Source organism: Homo sapiens, chromosome 3 (assembly GCF_000001405.40).
Source record: "Homo sapiens chromosome 3, GRCh38.p14 Primary Assembly".
Lineage (NCBI taxonomy): Eukaryota > Metazoa > Chordata > Mammalia > Primates > Hominidae > Homo > Homo sapiens.
In genome coordinates, this window is record NC_000003.12 from 37,987,180 (window position 1) to 38,007,290 (window position 20,111).

Below are 20,111 nucleotides of genomic sequence, written 5' to 3' on the forward strand. Positions count from 1 at the left end.
CTTGATGAGTGAGGGGGTGGTAGATGAAGGGAGGCTGGGGCAGGAAGAGGGCAGGGCTTTGCTAGCAAGGCAAACTCTGCCCAGGGCCCTTTTGACTCCTGGCAGGCCCCCTTGAAGAGGGGTGGAGGTGGGGATGGGGATGGGGTGGTGGGACCCCTTTCCTGCTAGGGGGAGGAGGGAGGGGAAGGCTAGGCATCCCACCCTCCCATTCTTGCAGCACCCAGCTGCCTGTGAGCCTGCCCTGGGCCTCAGTTTCCCCTCTGTGTGCCTGGGGTGTGACAGCCATGAGCCGGAGGCTGTCCAGGCCAGACTCAAGGCAGTGCTGCTCATCTTGGCCCCAGGCCAGGCTCTAAGGCCAGACTGCCATCTATCCTGGGCCTGGGATCACAGGTTACAGAGTAGGTGGTTCTGGACAGGGCAGTTCTCTCCAGGTGACATCTTCTGGTTTGCAGAGACCCAGACAATTCCGAGGGTTGGGGCCTTGGAGAAGTTCTCATGCCCCCCACTAAGCTGCTGACACTGGATTGTGCCAGCTGGGGTATCTGGCCCACAACCAAAGTGGAAAGGGGTCACCCCCTCAGCTTCTCAGAGAAGGAGGACTGAGCCCAGTAAAGGGTCCAGATACACACACACACACACACACTGGGTCAGGCGCAGGCCACAGAAACATGTCAGCAAACGTTTTATTAAGCAACTGCAGTGCGCCAGGCACCGTTCTAGACACAGGTGGACAACAGCAAGGCCCTGCCCACAGTGACTCACAGTCCAGCTGGGACACAGACACTAACCAAAGATCCCACTTAGCAAAGAGACCAGCTTCTTGGAGCACCACGATGAGGAAAGTGGTGATGTCTGAGGAGGGAGACTGCTGTGGCTAAGGAGGGCGGGAAGGGCCCTCTGTGGGGCTGCCATTTTGGCTGGGACCTAAATGCAGTAAAGGAGCAGCTACGGGAATATAGAGAGTGGGGCTTCCAGGCAGAGAAGCCTGCAGTGCAAAGGTCTGCAGACAACGACCTGGGCGTCTTCAAGGGACACAAGGAATCATATTGCCAGAACACAGTAAGCCATGGGGAGAGTGATGGGAGAGGCAGCCGGGAACGGCCATTGAGAGTTTCATCCCAGTTTTAGTGGAAGCCACTGGAAGGTTTGGGGAGGGGGGTGATGTGAGCGGGTTTATGGTTAAATTCTGAGGTTGAATTTTCCCTCTAGTTAGTCAAAATCATAGAAAATAGAATGGTGGTTGCAAGGGGCTGGGGGCAATGGGGAGTCTATGTTTAATGGGTGCAGAGTTGCAGAGTTTCCGTTTTGTAAGATGAAAGAGTTCTGGAAATGGTGGCAGTGGTTGCACAACAATATGAGTGTCCTTAACACCACAGAACCGTATACTTAAAAGTGGATACAGGCCGGGCGTGGTGGCTTACGCCTGTAATCCCAACACTTTGGGAGGCTGAGGCCGGTGGATCGCTGGAGGTCAGGAGTTCGCAACCAGCCTGACCAACATAGTGAAACCCCGTCTCTACCAAAAATACAAAATTAGCCGGGTGTGGTGGTGCATGCCTGTAATCCCAGCTACTCAGGGGACTGAGGCAGGAGAATCACTTGAACCCGGGAGGCGGAGGCTGCAGTGAGCCAAGATCATGCCATTGCACTCCAGCCTCGGCAACAAGAGCAAAACTCTGTCTCAAATAAATACATAAATAAAAAGGGGATACAATGGTAAATTTTAAGTATATTTTACTACAATTTTTTAAATCTTGTGAAAAAAAGATTTTTTATATTTTACCACAATTTTTTTAAATCTTAGGAAAAAAGATCCCTCTGGCTACTGTGGTAGGATGGTCGTAGCGGCCAGGCAGACCCAGAGACACAGAGGGAGGCTGGCTCCGGAGCAGGCAGGAGGCGTGAGAGGGAGGGCCAGGCCCAGGATCCACCATGAACCAGCTGCCGACGGGCCAGTGGCTTGCGGGAGAGAGAAATCAGGGCAACTCCAGGTTTGGGGCCTAAGCACCCTCTGGATGTTCACACTGAACGTGTTCCTGGGGCTCAGAGAGGGTAGATCTGGGAGGGGCCTGAGGCGATGTTAAATGTGAGACCAAACGTGCTGGGAGAGATGTGACAGACGGAAGATGGAGACTTAGGCCGGGGCAAGGTTCGGGGGAGTTGGGTCAGGGAGACACTGGCGTTTCCATGCTATTTGCAGCCTTCAGACTGGAACTGGGAAGGAAACTGGAAAACAAACAGGAGTGAAGGCCCAAGCTCTGCTCCTGCTGCCATTTAGAGGCCTGAAGGAGACAGGTGGAGTGAGAGGGGAAGGAACAATGGTGACTGAACTGACTGCCGCTTGGTTGACAGCGGGCATTGGTGACTTAGGAAAGAGCCATTGCCAGGGAATTCAAGAACAAACAGAGCGGGTGGGCTGAGGGGAGATGGGGGAAGAGTCGGTGGGAAGAAGTGAGGACACAGAGTCTTCCTGGGCACAGAGACAAAAAGGGACAGGGAAACGGGTATGCACAGGTACAGTGGACACACTGCCACTGTCACAGACAGGGTCCCTGTCCCAAGTGGGGATCAGACAGACATGCCAGGATACAGGCACACACATGAGGTCGGACAGGCAATGGCACACATGGGGACGAGCCAAATGCCTGTGACACAGGCATCCCTTCACACACAGGGACCCTGCATTGTGTCTGTTAAACACAGTCACACACTAGCTGTAGGTCTTGCTGGACACAGACTGCCCCCGAGTCCCCAAGTCCCCAGACCCCTGTAACAGAGACCTTTGTGGGGTGAAGACTGAACACAGGGAGAGGGTCTTGGGCAGTGGGCAGGCTTTAGCAGCGTGGCTTTGATGGGATGGCCCACGCTGGCTGGGCCTTGGCTGGGACTGAGGCCCTAAGCCGCCAAGAGGAGGTTGTGCCCCTGGAGTTTCTGGAAGGCTCTGTTTGCAGCCCCTCCACCCCACAGTGAGAGAGAGAGAGTGGCAGTGGAGTGGCAGCTGAGGTGAGGGAGAGGTGTCTTCGCTGCAAGAGCTGGACTGGCCTCTCCCATGATGGGTATCAGGGTTCCCTGAGGAGGGCTGTGCCAGGCAGTGAGCTCACATTTGGGTAGGGACAGCAGAAATATCTAGAGGGAGCCCTGACCACCTTCCCCTCCTGAAGTGAGCTGGGTCTCACAGAGCCTGACCCCACAGCCCCCAGCCTTGGTCCTACTTCCTCCTAAAGTTTGCTGGAGTGGCCTGGCCCTCTTGGTCCAGGCGGAGCCCACCACTCCGGGTGAGGGATCAGGGGCCCATCTAGTACTCCAGAGAAGGAAATCCCAGTATCTTCCACACCCCACCTCTTAGCCCAGTCCAGGCCTCCATCCCCTGCTCTCTCTGGCCACTGGTACCCAGGCAGTGAGACCTGGGAGACTTAACCATAGCCCTGGGGAGGGCGCTGGTCCCGACGGCTTGCTCGATATTTGTTGACTGGCTGACTAAGTGAATGCCTAGCCCGCTGAGCACTGTGTGGTGGGGTGTGTCCTGCAGGGCAGGAGCTAGGATTGAGTTACAGTGGTGGGGACCAGGAGTAGGGAGGCAGAGACTGGCCCCGTGCCAGGCCTAGCACTGCCCACAGGCAGGGCGAAGGCGCGGGAGCAGTTTCCAGCAGGTAGGCCTGGGCAGAGAGTTGGGGGGCGGGGGTTTCCAGGGAACCAGTGGGGCAGAGTGGGCTATTCAAGTCAAGGGCATAGAGCATAGGGTCCCAGGGCTCAGGGCCACAGAGCCTCCGCGGCAGAATTGGGAGGCGGCAGCAGCCCAGCAGGTGAAAACACTGATGGGGCAGGGCAGCTGTGGCCGGCAGCCCAAGGGGAAGAAAGTGGCAGATTTTGTAGATGGGCAGGGAAGTCCGTGGCCCACAAATTCAGTGTGCCTGCCCCCAACCCTGGCCCCATCCTCCTTTCCCCTCACTCTAGAGGGCGGCACCACTCCCTGCTCCATGGAAACTGAGCAAGGTAATCTCGGGCTCCCTTCAAAGGTACCCACAAAAGAAGGAAGGGCTCCTGTAGGGAGAGAAAGAGGCACTGGAGGAGGGAGAAAGCGAGGAGAGAGGAGGCACCCAGGGACACGAGGGGCAGGGGGAGAGAAGAGGGGGTGTGTGAAGCGGGTAGGGAGTGCCCCGGGAAAGAGAGGGGAGCCTGGGGAAGAGAAGGAAAGACCTGGGGAGGAGGGTGGGGAGGGAGAGAGGGAGGGGTGTAGGGGAAGACAGGGAACCAGGAAAGGAGGAGGTGCCTGGGGAGGAAAAATGGGAGAAAAAGGGAAGGATCCCAGGGGAGAGGGGAAATCAGAGGGGAGAAAGAAGAACCAGGGGGAGGCAGGGGCACCCAGTGGGGACAGAGGGAAACCCTGGAAAAGCGGAGGCGTGGGGCATGGGGAGAGAAAGGGAAACCAGGGAAGGAATTGGGCATCCGGAAGAGAAAGGGGCCCTGAGTGGAGGAAGTGCACCCCCAGGGAAGAGAAGGAGGGCTTCTAGGAGAAGGGAGAGGACCAGGGATAGGAGGGTTCCCACTTGGGAAGGTGGTGAAAGGGAGTTCCCCAGAGGAAAGAGGGCAGGAGGGTTTGGGAGGCTGGAGGGGGCACTGTGGGGGGTTCCCCTGAGGAAAGAGGGCAGGAGGGCTTGGGAGGCTGGAGGTGGCACTGTGGGGAGGGAGGAGGCCCCCAATCTTTGAGCACCCATTCCTCCCTGGAGTCCAGGTGAAAGAGAATGAACACAGGTGCCATGCGAGTGCGACCTCAGCCCTGGCAGCTGAGGGCTTGGCTCTACGGGCTGGGGCTGGATATCAGACGGGCTCCCGGACCCCTGGGGGCGATGCTGCCTCTCCCAGTGACACCAGCCGAGTCCCAACTTTTTGGCTGCCAGTTTGACTTTCCAGTCCCCCATGTGCCCTGGTTGACACTGTTCTGAGGCCATCCAGTAGTCTTTCTGGCACTCTGTCACCATGTTGTACTCTTCCATGAGCTACAGCTCACAGTTTCTGTCTGCACCTCTGGTCACTGCCTGCCTGGGCCTCTGGTAACTGTCACTGGTCACTATTTCTGCCTATTACTCAGTGTCCTTCTACGGGGCCACCACTGGTGGACATCCTGCTTGTCACCCAATGTCCTCACGTTTTCTGTTGCTTGAGATCACCTTTTCATGGCCACTATGTCTGCCTGTCACTCATGTCATTGTCACACCAACAGGCCATCAACTGTGGCAACAGTTCTTGGGGCAATTAGGGTGCACGGACGGCTCCCTTCTCTATTCATTTTCACTCAGTCCAGTCGCAGGGCAGCACACTTCACTCATTCAACAAGTACTTACTGAGTACCTGCTGGGGGCCGGGCAGCTGGGATCCCACAGTAAACAACAAGACAAACCCCTGCCTTCAGGAATCTGCTGCTCTGGTGAGGGAGACCATAGCCAACAACCATCCTATGGTTTCCATAGGGTGTCGGGAGGAGCTGTGAGCTGTGACGGACCCAGCTCTAACCCCCTAGAAGGACAGCCCACTCTGCCCCTGCTCCCCTGCCCCACAGCCTCCTCCGCTCCCACATTTCTTTGGCTACATGTTGGGTGTTGCCACAGTGTACTGTGAACTCACCAGGGCCAAACCAGGGGCCCTGACAAAGGTGTAAGGAATGTGAGCCACTCTATGACACCTATTGTGCCACACCTGATTCTGTAACTCTGTCCCCTCACCTTGTTCTGCCTGGAGCCAAGGGTGTTCCTGCTATTGATAAGACACAGTGGGAGTGGAGGGGGAGGAGGGAAGGACTAACACACCAGGGTCACCCTGAGTGAGAGATTCAGAAAGAAGTGACTTTTGGACCAAACCTCACACACAGGTTTCTGAAGGAGTGGTGCAGGGAAGCCTCAGGTAATTGAATATGAAGTGCCAAGACATAACAAAATCGACAGAAGTGAGGGTCCCTTCCTTCCCCCAGGTACTTCTCATTCCATGTCACTGTCATTCACTGCCCTCTCATTCTCTCCCTCTCTGCACGCGCAGAACCACAGAGCACAGACTCGAGCAAGCTAAATCGCTATTTGCAGAGCCTGTGGCTGTTTGCAGAGCCTGTGTTTATACAGAGTTCAGCTCTGTTTCAAGAATTTGTCAGCTGAAGCGGGAAGATCACTTGAACCCAGAAGGTGGAGGTTGCAGTGAAGTGTGTTCGAATCATGCACTGCAGGCTAGGGTGGCAGAGCAAGACCCTGTCTCGAAAAAACTGGAAAAAAAAATTGTCAAGTGTTTATGCCTAATCTGCCCAACCCACTCATATCAGCTGAGCCTGTCACTTGCTGCAGAATCTGAGTCTTCATAGTCTGTGTGCTGACATTTGTGTGTTTACAGAGCCCTCCTAATAAAAGTCATGTTCTATAATGAAGTTGTACAGGTAGCCAGGTGTCGGTCTCCAGCCTGAGAACTCTGGCTGTTGTTCCTTGTGTCGTCCCATATTCCTGCCTGGCCTGCGATGGACATCAGCAAGGGCCTCCCAGGCATGCAGGGAGGCCTCCACATATGGATCTCTGAGGTGAGAGGCACGACCAAATAGGAGAGTTGGTGACATGGAAGAGCGTGGGGTTTTCCACACTAGGCTTCTCCCGCCCCCAACTCAGAGCGTCCTCTTCCACCCCACCCCAGCGGGTGTCATGGGTAGAGGCCTCCTGAGTTGTTACAGGGAACTCTCCTCTCCCAGAACCGGAAGATGGTGCCGGTACCCGAGGGGGCTTACGGGAACTTTTTTGAGGAACACTGCTATGTCATCCTCCACGTGAGTCGCTTGGGGAAGTCTGCCTGAGAGGGGTGGCATGGCCCGGCACTGGGGAGACTGAGGCACAGGCATAAACTCTGCCCTGGGAAGCGGCAAGTTGAGAGCCGGAGAATCACATCCCACAAGGGGGCGGTTACCGTTGAGGCTTCTTAGTCCTTCCCTCCCACTTCCTGATCTCCGCGGAAGCCCCTGCCTAGCGTCTCCCCATGGCCCTTGGTACATCCTCCCCTTCTCCACCCGCACCTCCGTCTTCCCCGCAACACATATACACAAACACCCGGACCCTAGGTCCCCCAGAGCCCGAAGGCCACGCAGGGGGCGTCCAGCGACCTGCACTACTGGGTCGGGAAGCAGGCGGGTGCGGAAGCGCAGGGCGCTGCGGAGGCCTTCCAGCAGCGCCTACAGGACGAGCTGGGGGGCCAGACCGTGCTGCACCGCGAGGCGCAGGGCCACGAGTCCGACTGCTTCTGCAGCTACTTCCGCCCGGGAATCATGTGAGTGCGGGGGCGACCGGGGCAGGAGGGAGCCGTGGAGGCGGTGCCTTGGCTGGGGCAGTCTTGGGATGGCCATCGTCCACATCCCTGAATGGGGCAAGCCGGGAGGGGTTGGGTAACACCTTTATTGAGATACAACTCATACGCCATACGATTCACCCATTTAAAGTACATATACATGTCAGTGATTTTTAACAGTTGTGTGCAACCATCACCACAATTTTAGAACATTTTCATCACCCTAAAAAGAAGCCCCATACCCCTTTGCCACCACTCCCCATTTCCCTCCAACACCCCCATCCCCTGCCCTAGGCAACCACTCATCTGCTTTGTCTATACATTTGCCTCTTCCGGGCATGTCATAGAAATAGAATCATTCAACAAATGGTCTTCCCTGACGGGATCTTTTTGTTTTAACACACTGTTTTCATGGTTTATCCATGTTGTAGCATGTGTTATTACTTCTTTTTATTACCAAGTAATATTGCATTTTATGAATATACTACATTTTATTTATCCATTCATCACTTAATAGACATTTGAGTTGTTTCCACTTTTTGGCTGCTATGAATCTGTTTTTATGAACATTTGTATACAAGTTTTTGTGTGGACAAATGTTTTCATTTCCCTTGGTATATACCTAGGAGCAGACACCAATGTTGTTTTGAGTTTGCTTTTATGTTACTGTGCTGGTAGGAATATATCTTTCGCTGTAAATTGCTTCACAGGTGTTTTAAATTAACACTAGCAATATATTTGGAAATATAGGAAATTGCTATTTGATCATTTCCATTTCATACAGTTGAACCTATATATGCATATAGCATATACATGAACACATGCACACAAACATATGCGCAGATGCAGAAACACACACCACCCTCATGTATGTCCACCTATAGATGGACATGTGTGAATATCCATGTTCACCTACACACATATATGCTGTTGCCCACCTTCATGCACTCACCATCTAGACTTACAGGGATAAACAAATACACAGTGTGCCCCCAAATGTATGTACATGTACACATATATGCATGTGTCCACATGACTACGCATGGAAGTGCACTACACATGGAAATGAATGCACACTCATGCCCTATGTGTGCACCCATGTACTTATACATACATGTGTTCACACAGACTCCAGTGCATGTATGAAGCAGGCACATACGTGCACGTGCTCACATCTGCAGTCATTCATGCACATGGCAGTCTGTGTTCTTATATACACAGAATGTATATACCCTCCTGCTATTCCCACCTCAGCTACAGGAAGGGAGGCCTAGCATCTGACCTCAAGCATGTGGAGACCAACTTGTTCAACATCCAGCGACTGCTGCACATCAAAGGGAGGAAGCACGTGTCTGCCACTGAGGTGAGGCTGCCAGGGGAGCCTCTTGACCTCTGAACTCGGCTCAGACTGGGTGTACTGAGGTATAAGGAGGTTGGAAATTGGCTGGGGTTGTGGGGAACAAGGAGCTGTCAGCATTCCCAGATGGTCTTGAATGAGGAGAACAGAGAGGACACCAGGCTTCTAGCCCCACTTCTGCCACTGCTCCCCGGACCTTTTGTTTATGCGTCTATCTCAGGGACATATTGAGAACATGGGCACAGCTACTTGGGAGGCTGAGGCAGGAGGATCGCCTGAGCCCAGGAGTGATTCATGATGACACCACTGTACTCCAGCAGCTTGGGTGACAGAGAAAGACCCTGTCTCTGAAACAAAAAAAGAACTTGGGCAGATGGGGCAGATGATATGGCGCCTGTGAATGGTCCTTGTTAGCAGCACAGTGAGAGGTGGTGCATAACCTCGCACTCTCTCACACACATTGTCATTGTCACCTATATGCACACACACTGTCTCCCACTGTTATCCCCGGGTGCTCCTCTGGTCCATAGAGTGCCCTTGTGCAAATCAGAACAGTGCCCCTTTCTTCCATCTGTCAGGAAATTACAGGAAAATACTGGTTTTGTTAGAACAAAACATTTTGCTGCCATCTGGCCAGAATTTGGTGTAATGAACATTCAGGTGTACAACGTCTACAGTGTGAATGGTAACCCTTGAGGTATGCAAGTGAGTCTGCATAGGCAGCCTGTGACACAGAGACAATCCCACATAGGCTCTGCATGTCACCCACAGACCCAGTGACCATACATCTCTGGTCATTCAGGGACACCATGAAGCCCCATGTTTCTCCTATTATCCTGGCATAATTATCTAAAGTACTCCCTTTTACTCTCAAAAGTGTGTCCGTTTGGAGACTATCTTCATCCATAGGTATTCACTGTCACCATAAGCACACTTCTTCACATGTGATGTCCCCATATACATACATGTGTATATGCACACACACAAAAGATAAACAGATACACCCCACCTGTATACATGTGTACATGTATACATGTACAGCAACAGACATGCACTGAGTGAGAAGTGTCATAAGTCATGTACACCCTGTGGAATGCAGCATTATCTACAGTCACACATGCCTACGTACACCCAGTTTGCATACAGCTTCATGCACACGTGACACATCCCAGCTATGCTCCCCTCTAGCGGATGCTGGTGGTATGACACTCTGTCTCTCTCCCTGGCTCTGGCAGGTGGAGCTCTCCTGGAACAGCTTTAATAAGGGTGACATCTTCCTGCTGGACCTAGGCAAGATGATGATTCAGTGGAATGGGCCCAAGACCAGCATTTCTGAGAAGGCTCGGGTCAGTGTCTGCCCAAGGAACTGGGGAGTACGGGGCTTGGGCGGGGAATGATCCTCCAGTTGACCATCCTCCGGCCACCCAAAGAGTTGGGCTTGGCTCTGCTACAACCCAAGAAACGCCTATGAGTTACAAGCTGAGTTCAGACCCTGCATTGTTGGTGTCCCCCTGGATGCCAGGATGAGGGGACATCAGCCCTTCTCCCCATCAGCCTCTGGGAGCTGAGCAGTGACAGGAGAAGTCTCTGCTGTGAGAGGGCACACTGGTGACACCCTGACTCCCAGGTCCTCTCCCGCAGGGGCTGGCTTTGACCTACAGCCTCCGGGACAGGGAACGTGGTGGTGGTCGTGCACAGATTGGTGTGGTGGATGATGAGGCCAAAGCCCCGGACCTCATGCAGATCATGGAGGCTGTGCTGGGCCGCAGGGTGGGCAGCCTGCGTGCCGCCACGCCCAGCAAGGATATCAACCAGCTGCAGAAGGCCAATGTTCGCCTGTACCAGTGAGTACCCCTGGGGTGGGCAGGGGTGGGTGGGACAGTCCAGGACTCTGTGTCCATCACTACTGCAATAACACGGCATCTCTAGAAGGCCCTCCAGCAAAGGCTGCTGGGTTTCTGGGACAGGTCATGTGGACCGTGGGTCCAGCCTGTACTCTTCCATGGCATGTGGCTGCCTTGCTGAGAAACCTATTGTACATACAGGGGGACTGTGGCGCCCTGCCAGGGCCAGGGAGCTGCCTAAAGCTCCACAGCAAGGCTGCAGTAAAAGTGAAGACTACAACTCGGGGCCCCAGCCCCCATGCCTTCTGTCTCTGAGGGACTGGGGTGGGGTCCTAAATGGGGCTGGAGTGGAGACAGATCAGGGAGGGGCTGGGCTGGCCACTCCTGGGTTCCTGTCCCCCCAGTGTCTATGAGAAGGGCAAAGACCTGGTGGTCCTGGAGTTGGCGACCCCCCCACTGACCCAGGACCTGCTGCAGGAGGAGGTGAGGAAGGCCTGGCCCCAGCTACTTGCATCCTTCCCCATCCACAACCCCAGCCCAGTCTGGACCACCTACTGACCAGCCCCACCCTTGCTCCCAGGACTTCTACATCCTGGACCAGGGTGGCTTCAAGATCTATGTGTGGCAGGGACGCATGTCTAGCCTCCAGGAGAGAAAGGCTGCCTTCAGCCGGGCTGTGGTGAGCCCTGGGGCTCTGTCTGAGAGGAACAGAGCACTGCCCTGGGGTCTGAGTGGGGAGGCAGCTCCGCCCCAGGGTCTAAGGGAGGAATCAGCCCTCCCCTAGAGTTTGAGTTGGGAAATCCTATGCTGGAGTCTTAAAGGGGAGGTAGCCCTGCCCTGGGAGCCCTGAGAGTAAAGACCAGGTGGCCTCTGAGAAACCATGTGTAAAAGGGGCACGTGGCCCTGCCTTCAGGTCTGGGGCCCTACTGACTGGGCGGTCCCGCTTTCTGAGGGTGGGGCTGGGGAGGAGACAGGGCTCTCTCTGTCTGGGGTCCGTGAGGGTTGACATGGCCTGTCCTGCACGAGGCCTAGACTAAGGGGGCCCTGCCTGCCCTCAGGGACCTCAGAGAAGTCGGTGGTGACAGAGTCAATTCGCTAAGTGGGTCATGAGCTCGGTTAATTAACGCTTCTTGGAGCTCGGCTGTCCCAGAGCGGTAGGTCCCCAGGAGCGGCAGTGGGGCAGTGGACTCTCAGGGTCGCAGGACTGACGATGCCTTCCGCCCCAGGGCTTCATCCAGGCCAAGGGCTACCCGACCTACACCAACGTGGAGGTGGTGAACGACGGCGCCGAGTCGGCCGCGTTCAAGCAGCTCTTCCGGACTTGGTCTGAGAAGCGGCGCAGGAACCAGAAGCTCGGCGGGAGGGGTGAGCGGGCGGGGCGGGGCTGACGGGGGCGGGGCGGGACTGGCGGGGGCGGGGCCTGGCAGGAATCGGCAACTCGTTGGGATGGGTGAGCGGGCGGGGCGGGGCCGGAGGGGGCGGGGCCTGGTCTGCACGGGGCGGAACAGAGCCTCAGGATGAGGAAAGGGGCGTGGGCTGCGGAGGACGCGGCGGGACCTGGAATCTTGGAGGGATGGTTGAGGAGTGGGCGGGGCGGAGATGGTGTTGGGGGGGGGCAGAGGGCGCCACTGACGCCTACTGTCCCCCCTTCAGATAAATCGATTCATGTAAAGCTGGACGTGGGCAAGCTGCACACCCAGCCTAAGTTAGCGGCCCAGCTCAGGATGGTGGACGACGGCTCTGGGAAGGTGGAGGTGAGGGGTACTGGGTTAGCTGGGGGAAGATGGGCACACGGAGGTAAGCTTTGCCTACAGGTAAACGGTATGACTGCTATCTAAAGTGACCCAGGTGCACATCCACACACAATCAGGGACACAAAGGGACACGTGTACATTTACATACTCTCCTAGCAGGCAGTTCATACATAGTCACGCCTAATCATACACAGCCACGGGCACTCACACAACACAGACACACAGTACAGTAACACTTGGACACTTAAATTCTCCCTGTAGTCACATGTAGGACAAAATCAAACATATGCTTATACAGACACACATACTAACACCTTGTAATTGCACATAATCACAGCCAAGTACACAACCACAAATATGAAGCTGCAAAAACTCTACATCAGACATGACCACGGTCACACACAACCATCAATCCGCAGAGACACACCAACACAGACACACGATCACACATCATCAATTACAGCCCCACACACCCAACCCCAATTAACAGCCATACACTGTCAACCACTCATCTGGTCTCAGCCCAGTGTCCTGCGAGACGCAGGGGTTGAGGGCTACTTCCAGGCTCTGTAGAGGGTGTGGTTGTATCTTGACTTGTTGGCTGACCCCCTAGGCAGAGCCCTGAATTTTTTAGGCCCTAGTTTTTAAATAAAGTGGGGTCAGAAACTGTGGTCCCATCTGGCCCCAAGGCTGATGTGGGGATCCTGTGGTCTTGTGGGAACAGAACTGCTGGGCCTATGCGAGGGGTCCTAGTTCTCGAGGTAGGTGGAGGTCAGAGAAAAGGCAAGATTTCCTTCTTCCTTTGCCCTAATATGGATGGACAGAAGTGATGAGTGGGAAGAGACTGAGAGAGGAGGAGATGGGGCAAGGGGGAAGAAGGGGGAGACAGGGAAAGAGGAAGACAGGGAAGGAGCACAAAGAGAGACAGAGAAGAAAAGACTGGGAAGGACAGGGGATGAGGAGGAGGCAGAGGGAAGGGAGGAGGAGGTGGGGTGGAGGAAGAGCAGGGAGAGAGGGGGTACAGGGAGAAGAGAGGGAGGGTCAGTGATAGATGGGATACACAGAGAGAGACAGAGAGCCAGACAGTGGGAGAGGGAGACAGGAAAGCAGAAGGAAAGGCGAGGGACGGAGGGAAAGAGAGCCCTGGGACTCAGGTGCCAAGCACAAAGTCAGGGACAGGATCCCTCCTGGTAGGCAGTGGACAGGCAGGCAGAGACAGGGCCTGAGCCAGGGGTCCTGGCTGCCCGGTAATTGCCACTGTTAGGTGGCCTGTAGTCAAGTCAGCCACTTTTGTGAAAGACAGGGCTCTGGCTGCTCTGGTCTGGAGGTCGGCTCCCCAGGGACAACTGTCAGGGTCAGTGTGGGAAAGGACACCCAGGCATTGTCTCCTGCCATGCAGAGGTGAGGTAAGGGAGGCGTCATCATCCCCAATATACAGGTGGGAAAGGCCCGAAGCTTAGAACAATGTCACTGCCAACACAGGGCCTACCTGGGATTTGACCAGAGTCCGCCTGGCTCCAGGCTCTGCCACCCACAGGAAGAAGAAACTACACTGACAGATGTGAGACAGTGTTTCCCCTTCAGTCTTTGAACAGGCTTTGTGTTTTCTAAATGACACTGGATAAAAGGGAATTCATTCAAGAGCTCCAAGGCTTCCCTTTCCGCCCGGCTTCTGTTGCCCTGGCCTGAGCAGCGAGCAGCTGGGAGGGGACTGAACTGCCCCTAACCAGGGTTGTGGCTGGTGGGGTTGGGACTAGGGCTGGGCATGTGGCTGGGATTGGGCCCATCTCCCAAGTGTGGTGGGTTTCAGGGGTCCGTGGGGAAAGGGTCACCTGCAGATCCTTGTACAAAGCCCAGCACAAGGCCCAGAATGGGCCTGGAGCTGAGGGTGGGCCCCTGGCCTGCGTGGATGAGGAAGGCCTCAGAGGCTGGGGAGAGCTTTCCGGTTGGGTACAGGATGGGTGGGCTGGTTCAGGAAGAGCAGCCACCTGTGCCCATTGGTCCCTTATTCCCCAGGTGTGGTGCATCCAGGACTTACACAGGCAGCCCGTGGACCCCAAGCGTCATGGACAGCTGTGTGCAGGCAACTGCTACCTTGTGCTCTACACATACCAGAGGCTGGGCCGTGTCCAGTACATCCTGTACCTATGGCAGGTGTGCCAGCCTGAGGGAGGCAGCACTCACCTTAAAGCCCAAGGGCTGGGCTCTGGGAGTGAAATGTGAGAGCTGGGCCAGGCCCTCACTCACTGCCCCCACCTGCAGGGCCACCAGGCCACTGCGGATGAGATTGAGGCCCTGAACAGCAACGCTGAGGAACTAGATGTCATGTATGGTGGCGTCCTAGTACAGGAGCATGTGACCATGGGCAGCGAGCCCCCCCACTTCCTCGCCATCTTCCAGGGCCAGCTGGTGATCTTCCAGGTAGGTCTCACCTTGCCACTCTGGCCACAGCCTGCCCAGTTCTGCATGGGCCATGGCCCCCGCACACACTTCTAAGCACCTTCTCTTTGGGCCTGGGGCCTGCTTATCATCCCCTAGTTTCCCAGAGCTTGTCCAAGGCCCAGGAGCTCCAAGGTTGGCCCCCTGCCTGAGTTTCCCTCCCCAGTCCCAGAGCCAGATGAGGAATTTGAGTTGAAAGGGAGCCAGGGGCTTGCCTGGGGCTGCACACTAGCAAACCTGGTCCCCACTTTCCACCTCCAAGGCCTGAGCACCCATGCCCCAACCACTCAGAGATGGGGGGAAAGGTCCATTTAAAAAGGGTCTGTCCCTGTCCCAGACTGATGGGATTCCTGCACTCCACACTTAGAGGGTCCTGTACTCCTCATGTGAAATCACCAGTGAGGGCCTTGATGGCTTCAAGCAAGGGTCCCTGAGCTCTGAGGCAATATGTCCCACACTGGGACAGGAAGGCGCCCCTGGGAGCCCTTGCCCAGCCTGAGGCCTTGCTCTCCTATAGGAGAGAGCTGGGCACCATGGAAAGGGGCAGTCAGCATCCACCACAAGGCTTTTCCAAGTGCAAGGCACTGACAGCCACAACACCAGGACCATGGAGGTGCCAGCCCGTGCCTCATCCCTCAACTCCAGTGACATCTTCTTGCTGGTCACAGCCAGCGTCTGCTACCTCTGGTTTGGGAAGGTACCCACAGCACTGACCACTTGATTCATGCCCAGATGTAGTGGTGCCAGGCTGGGGGTGGGTCCTCTCCACAGGGCATGCAGACTTTGAGTCCAGCCTCAGATAGGCCGATGGGGGGAATGGGGAGGGGAAGAAGCCACAGGGTCCCCTCTAGAACTTGGGGAAAGTTACAAAGTGACAGGTGGACCTGAGAGTCCGCAGGTCAGAGCCAGGCCCAGGCCGCCTCCCCTCCTTACTGCCTGGAGCACAGGGCATGTCCCTTCCCAGGTCTCTTGGGAAAAGGGGAGGCCTATGCCAGTTTGCTGGAGTTTTCTCTAATATTCAGCATAAACTATGACTGACCCTCTAAGCCTGGGGGCCTCCTATCCCATGCTCTGGACCCTGCGAGGGTCCCAGACCCTGCGATCCAGATCAACTGGGGACACAGGCCTGTAGGGTGAGGAAGATGCCTTGTTCACTGGTGTCCTGCTGTCAGCTTAGGCCTCCTGTGACTTGGGCCCAGCCCCACCCCATACACCCTGTGAACGGGACGTGGGGCCGGAGGTGAAGGCCCCTCCTCATGCAGGGCCTGAGCCATCTCTTTGCCTGCTAGGGCTGTAATGGTGATCAGCGTGAGATGGCACGGGTGGTGGTCACTGTCATTTCCAGGAAGAATGAGGAAACGGTGCTGGAGGGTCAGGAGCCTCCCCACTTCTGGGAGGCCCTGGGAGGCCGGGCCCCCTACCCCAGCAACAAGAGGTAACAGGGTTGGGAGGAGAGTGTTCTTACCCAGAGGAGGAATTGAGGCCCAGAGAGGAGGGTGGGTGACTGGGATTCACACAGAGAGCTGGCAAGACGAGACTAGAACCAAGGACTCTCAGTTTCCCACTCACAGAGGCTCCCACAAGTACAGCCCACGCTTCGCTCCCAGGCCTGGGTAACTTGCGTCTCTCAGATGCTGGGGAGAGTGGGGGCAGTGGCGACCTCTGCTGGCAGCATCCCCTCCCTGCATTGTCCTGGTCCTGGGCCAGGGGACAAAGCACCCTTCCCCACCCTACAGTCCTCAGGGATCACGGTGCCCAGTGTGTGTGTATACAGTGTCATATGATGTGTGGGTATACAGTGTGTGTGGATGTGCAAGAACAGGTGTATTCAGGGTGTTGTGTGTGGTGTGTAAGTGGACAGGGTGTGTGTAGGAGGTAGGAGTGAGGCCTCAAGGGGAGGAGGGAGCTGAGTCCTGGTCGCTCTTGGTCTGCCTGTGGGGCTTGGTTTATGTGCTGCACTCCCCACAATTCTCCTGAGCTCAGTACTCCCGTCTCCTTCTCCCAGCCTGGCTTGCCTCCTTCCACTTTGGGCCGGAGACCTACTCTCTGCCAGGGGTGGGCTGAGGAGCTCCTCCCATCCCAGGGAGGGCGAGACTCCAGCTCAGGCCCTCCCCTACCCCTGCAGCCCTCTCCTAGGGAAATTCATGGGGCACCTTGCGTCACAGCTGGGTGGGGCGAGAGCTTTCTCCATGAGCAGAGAGGGACCCTGTACCCAGAGCAGAGCGGAGTGCTCGGGGAGAAACCACGGGGCTCAGAGGAGGGCCCAGGGCTCCCACTCCTGAGAAGTGGCTTCCCAGGCCCTGGGGTGGGGCACTTGTGCCATGGGCTGGGGTGCCCCTCTGGGTGGCTCACAGCCTTGCTGTCCGTGCTGGCCAGGCTCCCTGAGGAGGTCCCCAGCTTCCAGCCACGACTGTTTGAGTGCTCCAGCCACATGGGCTGCCTGGTCCTCGCAGAAGTGGGGTTCTTCAGCCAGGAGGACCTGGACAAGTATGACATCATGTTACTGGACACCTGGCAGGAGGTAAGGTGGCCATCCCTGCCTGGTGGGGCTGTGAACGGGGGTGTGTTTCTGTTTGTGTAACTGGGTGTGTGTGTATCTAGCCATCTGCCTCTGTACACAGGGCTGTGGGTGAGTCTGACCCTGTCACTGAGCAATTGCATTGCGGTGCATATGAGACCATGGATGAGTGTGCATCACCAGGTGGCAGCAGTGAGACTCCGGGAGATTAGGAGTGTGTTGGAACTCAGGGGTAACTGAGACCATGTTTGCAGTTGTGTGTGGCCCTGTGTGCCTTATGATACTATGTGTGGCTCCAGCGACAGTGCCTGCGGCCGAGCATGTGTCGGTGCTGCATGAGTGACTGTGATTGGAATGCCCAATCGCATCATTCATGTGTGTGGCTTGGTGTGAGTGTTTGCCTTCGTGCACCTGTGTGTGACACTTTGTCAGTGACTGTGAGGTCACGTGATGCTAGAACTGGCCAGACCAGTGGCAACTGGTGAAAATGTGTCTGTGAGCAAGACTATGACTGGCTGTGGGCGAATGATGGATGGGTGTGTTTGTGGGTCTGTGTTTCTGCGCACAGTGGTATAACTGGCCGGGTGTGCGTGGCTGTGTAAACAAGTGCTGTTGTGTTTGCATGCAGCTCTGTGTCTGACAACAGTGGATGACAGTGTGTGGCTATGGTTTGCTGTCTGGCTGTGTGGCGATGGATGACTGTGTGTCTGTGTAAGCTGCAATAATGTGTGTTCTCTGCATCTCTGTGGGGCCGTGTCTACAGCACTGTTTGAATTGGTGATGAAGCTGTGTGCTCCCATCTACTCAGAACAAACCCAGAGCTCTTACCACAGCCCTACGTGACCTGGCCAGCCCCAACTCTTTGACCCAATTTCCCCCTGCTCCCCCCTCACTGCTTCTGCTGCAGCCACAATGGCCTCTTTGTGTTCCCTGAACATGCCGGGCACACGGCCACCTCGGGGCTTTTACACCGGTTGTTTCTTCTGGTTAGGACACTTTTCCTCCAGACATACATGTGACTTGCTCTCTCATGAAAGCTCTATAAGGGCAGGGATTTTTGTCCATTTTCTTTCATTGTTGACTCCCCAAAGCCTAGACCAATGCCCGGCACACAGTAGGTGCTCAATAAGTATTTGTGGATTGATCTCCAGGTAAATCATGCAAGAAAAAAAAAATGTGTGGATTGAACGTGTGTGTGCATGTATGCATGCATTCCTGTGACCTTCTCGTGTGTTCACGGGTGTGTGGGTACAGCCGCTTGCTGGGTGTGTCTGCTTGGCCAGGGATGTGTATGTGGGGTTCTGTCTGGGACAACTGGACAGGGAGTGGACAGGAAGGGGTCAGCTCTGGGCAGCCCCTCCACCTGCCCAAGGCCAGGTCCCCTCTGTGGCTCAGATCTTCCTGTGGCTTGGGGAAGCTGCAAGTGAGTGGAAGGAGGCGGTGGCCTGGGGCCAGGAGTACCTGAAGACTCACCCAGCAGGGAGGAGCCCGGCCACACCCATCGTGCTGGTCAAGCAGGGCCATGAGCCTCCCACCTTCATTGGATGGTTCTTCACTTGGGACCCCTACAAGTGGACTGTGAGTGAGGCCTGAAACCCCCAGCCCTACCCTAATTTGTGGGGAGAGGAACCTGACCTGGGCCAATGGAATGAGGAGGCACTGCCCTGGCTGGGGATTGCCAGTGTGTGCGAGAGACCTGGTCTTGTCCTCAGGCCCCTCATGTGTCCCATTGGTGCCCCCTTCTCCTGCCCTGGCCCTGATACTTGCCCCGATTCTTGCTCCAGAGCCACCCGTCCCACAAGGAAGTGGTGGATGGCAGCCCGGCAGCAGCATCAACCATCTCTGAGATAACAGCAGTGAGTCCTGGGGCCCCTAGCCTTCCCCACAGTGGCCTGGGCTCCGACAGCATGGTCCTGATGGGCAGGGGAAGTGCCAGGCCCTTGTAAGTGGGAGGGGCTGCAGTTGGAGGTAAGAGGCCTGTGGGTTCAGTGCAGCCTCCCTGTGGGCTACTGATTCCCCATCTTCCCCAGCCTGAGGCTCCTCTCTGGACAGGAAGTCAACAACTTGCGGCTATCCAGATGGCCGGGCAATGGCAGGGCAGGTGCCGTGGCCCTGCAGGCCCTCAAGGGCTCCCAGGACAGCTCAGAGAATGATCTGGTGCGAAGCCCCAAGTCGGCTGGCAGCAGAACCAGCAGCTCCGTCAGCAGCACCAGCGCCACGATCAACGGGGGCCTGCGCCGGGAACAACTGATGCACCAGGCTGTTGAGGACCTGCCAGAGGGCGTGGACCCTGCCCGCAGGGAGGTGGGCACCCCCTCACTGCCCCAGCACTAGTGCATCTGACACTGAGCTGGAGGAGCCCAAGGCAGGATCCACTGGTGGCGGGCAGTGGGCAACTGCCCCGGGAGATGTGTCTTCTAGCTGGGGTGGTGGGCAAACAGATGCGGGAGTCCCAAGCCCTGGATGACTGACACTACTGAGTGGGGCAGGATTCTGGGCTCAGATGACACCCTACCCTGTACCTCCCCCTCTCTCCCCTGCCCAGTTCTATCTCTCAGACTCTGACTTCCAAGATATCTTTGGGAAATCCAAGGAGGAATTCTACAGCATGGCCACGTGGAGGCAGCGGCAGGAGAAAAAGCAGCTGGGCTTCTTCTGAACCCAAGCCCTCTCGACTGCCCCTATCCCCTGGACCCCAACATACCTACAATGCTGGGGAGGCCCTGCTTCCACTCCCCTCAGAGGCTTTTGGTCATCCTCTGCGTGTCAGTAAAAGCAGGCAGCCCATACGAGCTGTGGTATGCGTGCTTTCAAGCCCGGGCCACTCAGCAGGTCCACCTCTCAGGGGAAGGGGCCTCCAGGGCTGGCGGGTGTGAGCTCTCAGTGCCACCCCA

General features: G+C 56.1%; 1 protein-coding gene across 7 annotated transcripts, besides 9 other annotated features; it reads left to right on the forward strand.

The window, feature by feature from the left end:
• On the forward strand, positions 799-20,006 carry VILL (villin like). 7 transcript variants are annotated; one of them, NM_001385038.1, is made up of 21 exons: positions 3,607-3,650; positions 3,955-3,993; positions 6,408-6,553; positions 6,719-6,793; positions 7,082-7,287; positions 8,560-8,668; positions 9,898-10,008; positions 10,304-10,506; positions 10,911-10,989; positions 11,087-11,185; positions 11,733-11,871; positions 12,160-12,260; positions 14,277-14,414; positions 14,523-14,681; positions 15,217-15,396; positions 15,989-16,134; positions 17,076-17,220; positions 18,613-18,795; positions 19,002-19,073; positions 19,270-19,521; positions 19,763-20,006. In NM_001385038.1, the coding sequence occupies exons 3-21, from the start codon at positions 6,494-6,496 to the stop codon at positions 19,874-19,876; spliced, it is 2,571 nt and encodes an 856-aa protein (NP_001371967.1). In that variant the 5' UTR covers positions 3,607-3,650; positions 3,955-3,993; positions 6,408-6,493; the 3' UTR covers positions 19,877-20,006. The 7 variants fall into 7 exon arrangements, 5 of the variants coding, with proteins under 5 accessions (NP_001371968.1, NP_001371967.1, NP_056957.3 ...); NM_001385039.1 differs by lacking the exons at positions 3,607-3,650; positions 3,955-3,993 and adding an exon at positions 799-1,059; NM_015873.4 differs by lacking the exon at positions 3,955-3,993.
• Positions 5,619-5,913: an enhancer, noted in NCBI's record as "tiled region #12639; K562 Activating DNase matched - State 5:Enh". NCBI's record gives its function as "activates a minimal TATA promoter and a strong SV40 promoter by Sharpr-MPRA in K562 cells {active_cell/tissue: K562}" and the evidence as "EXISTENCE:reporter gene assay evidence [ECO:0000049][PMID:27701403]".
• Positions 6,620-7,069: a silencer, noted in NCBI's record as "fragment chr3:38035290-38035739 (GRCh37/hg19 assembly coordinates)". NCBI's record gives its function as "represses an EF-1alpha promoter that drives an FKBP-Casp9 reporter gene in an ReSE screen in phorbol 12-myristate 13-acetate-treated (for megakaryocytic differentiation) K562 erythroleukemia cells {active_cell/tissue: K562(+PMA)}" and the evidence as "EXISTENCE:reporter gene assay evidence [ECO:0000049][PMID:32094911]".
• Positions 6,620-7,073: a biological region, named in NCBI's record as "Sharpr-MPRA regulatory region 7921".
• Positions 6,779-7,073: an enhancer, noted in NCBI's record as "tiled region #7921; K562 Activating non-DNase unmatched - State 1:Tss". NCBI's record gives its function as "activates a minimal TATA promoter and a strong SV40 promoter by Sharpr-MPRA in K562 cells {active_cell/tissue: K562}" and the evidence as "EXISTENCE:reporter gene assay evidence [ECO:0000049][PMID:27701403]".
• Positions 7,105-7,722: an enhancer, noted in NCBI's record as "H3K4me1 hESC enhancer chr3:38035775-38036392 (GRCh37/hg19 assembly coordinates)". NCBI's record gives its function as "activates a minimal SCP1, AML or CMV promoter by ChIP-STARR-seq in naive H9 embryonic stem cells {active_cell/tissue: H9 hESC(naive)}" and the evidence as "EXISTENCE:reporter gene assay evidence [ECO:0000049][PMID:30033119]".
• Positions 10,434-11,004: an enhancer, noted in NCBI's record as "H3K4me1 hESC enhancer chr3:38039104-38039674 (GRCh37/hg19 assembly coordinates)". NCBI's record gives its function as "activates a minimal SCP1, AML or CMV promoter by ChIP-STARR-seq in primed H9 embryonic stem cells {active_cell/tissue: H9 hESC(primed)}" and the evidence as "EXISTENCE:reporter gene assay evidence [ECO:0000049][PMID:30033119]".
• Positions 11,883-12,052: a silencer, noted in NCBI's record as "silent region_14200". NCBI's record gives its function as "represses an Ori minimal core promoter by ATAC-STARR-seq in GM12878 lymphoblastoid cells {active_cell/tissue: GM12878}" and the evidence as "EXISTENCE:reporter gene assay evidence [ECO:0000049][PMID:35858748]".
• Positions 16,391-16,440: a silencer, noted in NCBI's record as "silent region_14201". NCBI's record gives its function as "represses an Ori minimal core promoter by ATAC-STARR-seq in GM12878 lymphoblastoid cells {active_cell/tissue: GM12878}" and the evidence as "EXISTENCE:reporter gene assay evidence [ECO:0000049][PMID:35858748]".
• Positions 18,809-19,309: an enhancer, noted in NCBI's record as "H3K4me1 hESC enhancer chr3:38047479-38047979 (GRCh37/hg19 assembly coordinates)". NCBI's record gives its function as "activates a minimal SCP1, AML or CMV promoter by ChIP-STARR-seq in naive H9 embryonic stem cells {active_cell/tissue: H9 hESC(naive)}" and the evidence as "EXISTENCE:reporter gene assay evidence [ECO:0000049][PMID:30033119]".

Coding starts and splice junctions, on each gene's coding strand:
- VILL (NM_001385039.1), top strand. CDS start 6,494: ATGGACATCAGCAAGGGCCTCCCAGGCATGCAGGGAGGCCTCCACATA. Junction 6,794..7,081: donor ACTGCTATGTCATCCTCCAC/GTGAGTCGCTTG, acceptor CCCGGACCCTAG/GTCCCCCAGAGCCCGAAGGC. Junction 10,507..10,910: donor GCCAATGTTCGCCTGTACCA/GTGAGTACCCCT, acceptor CTGTCCCCCCAG/TGTCTATGAGAAGGGCAAAG.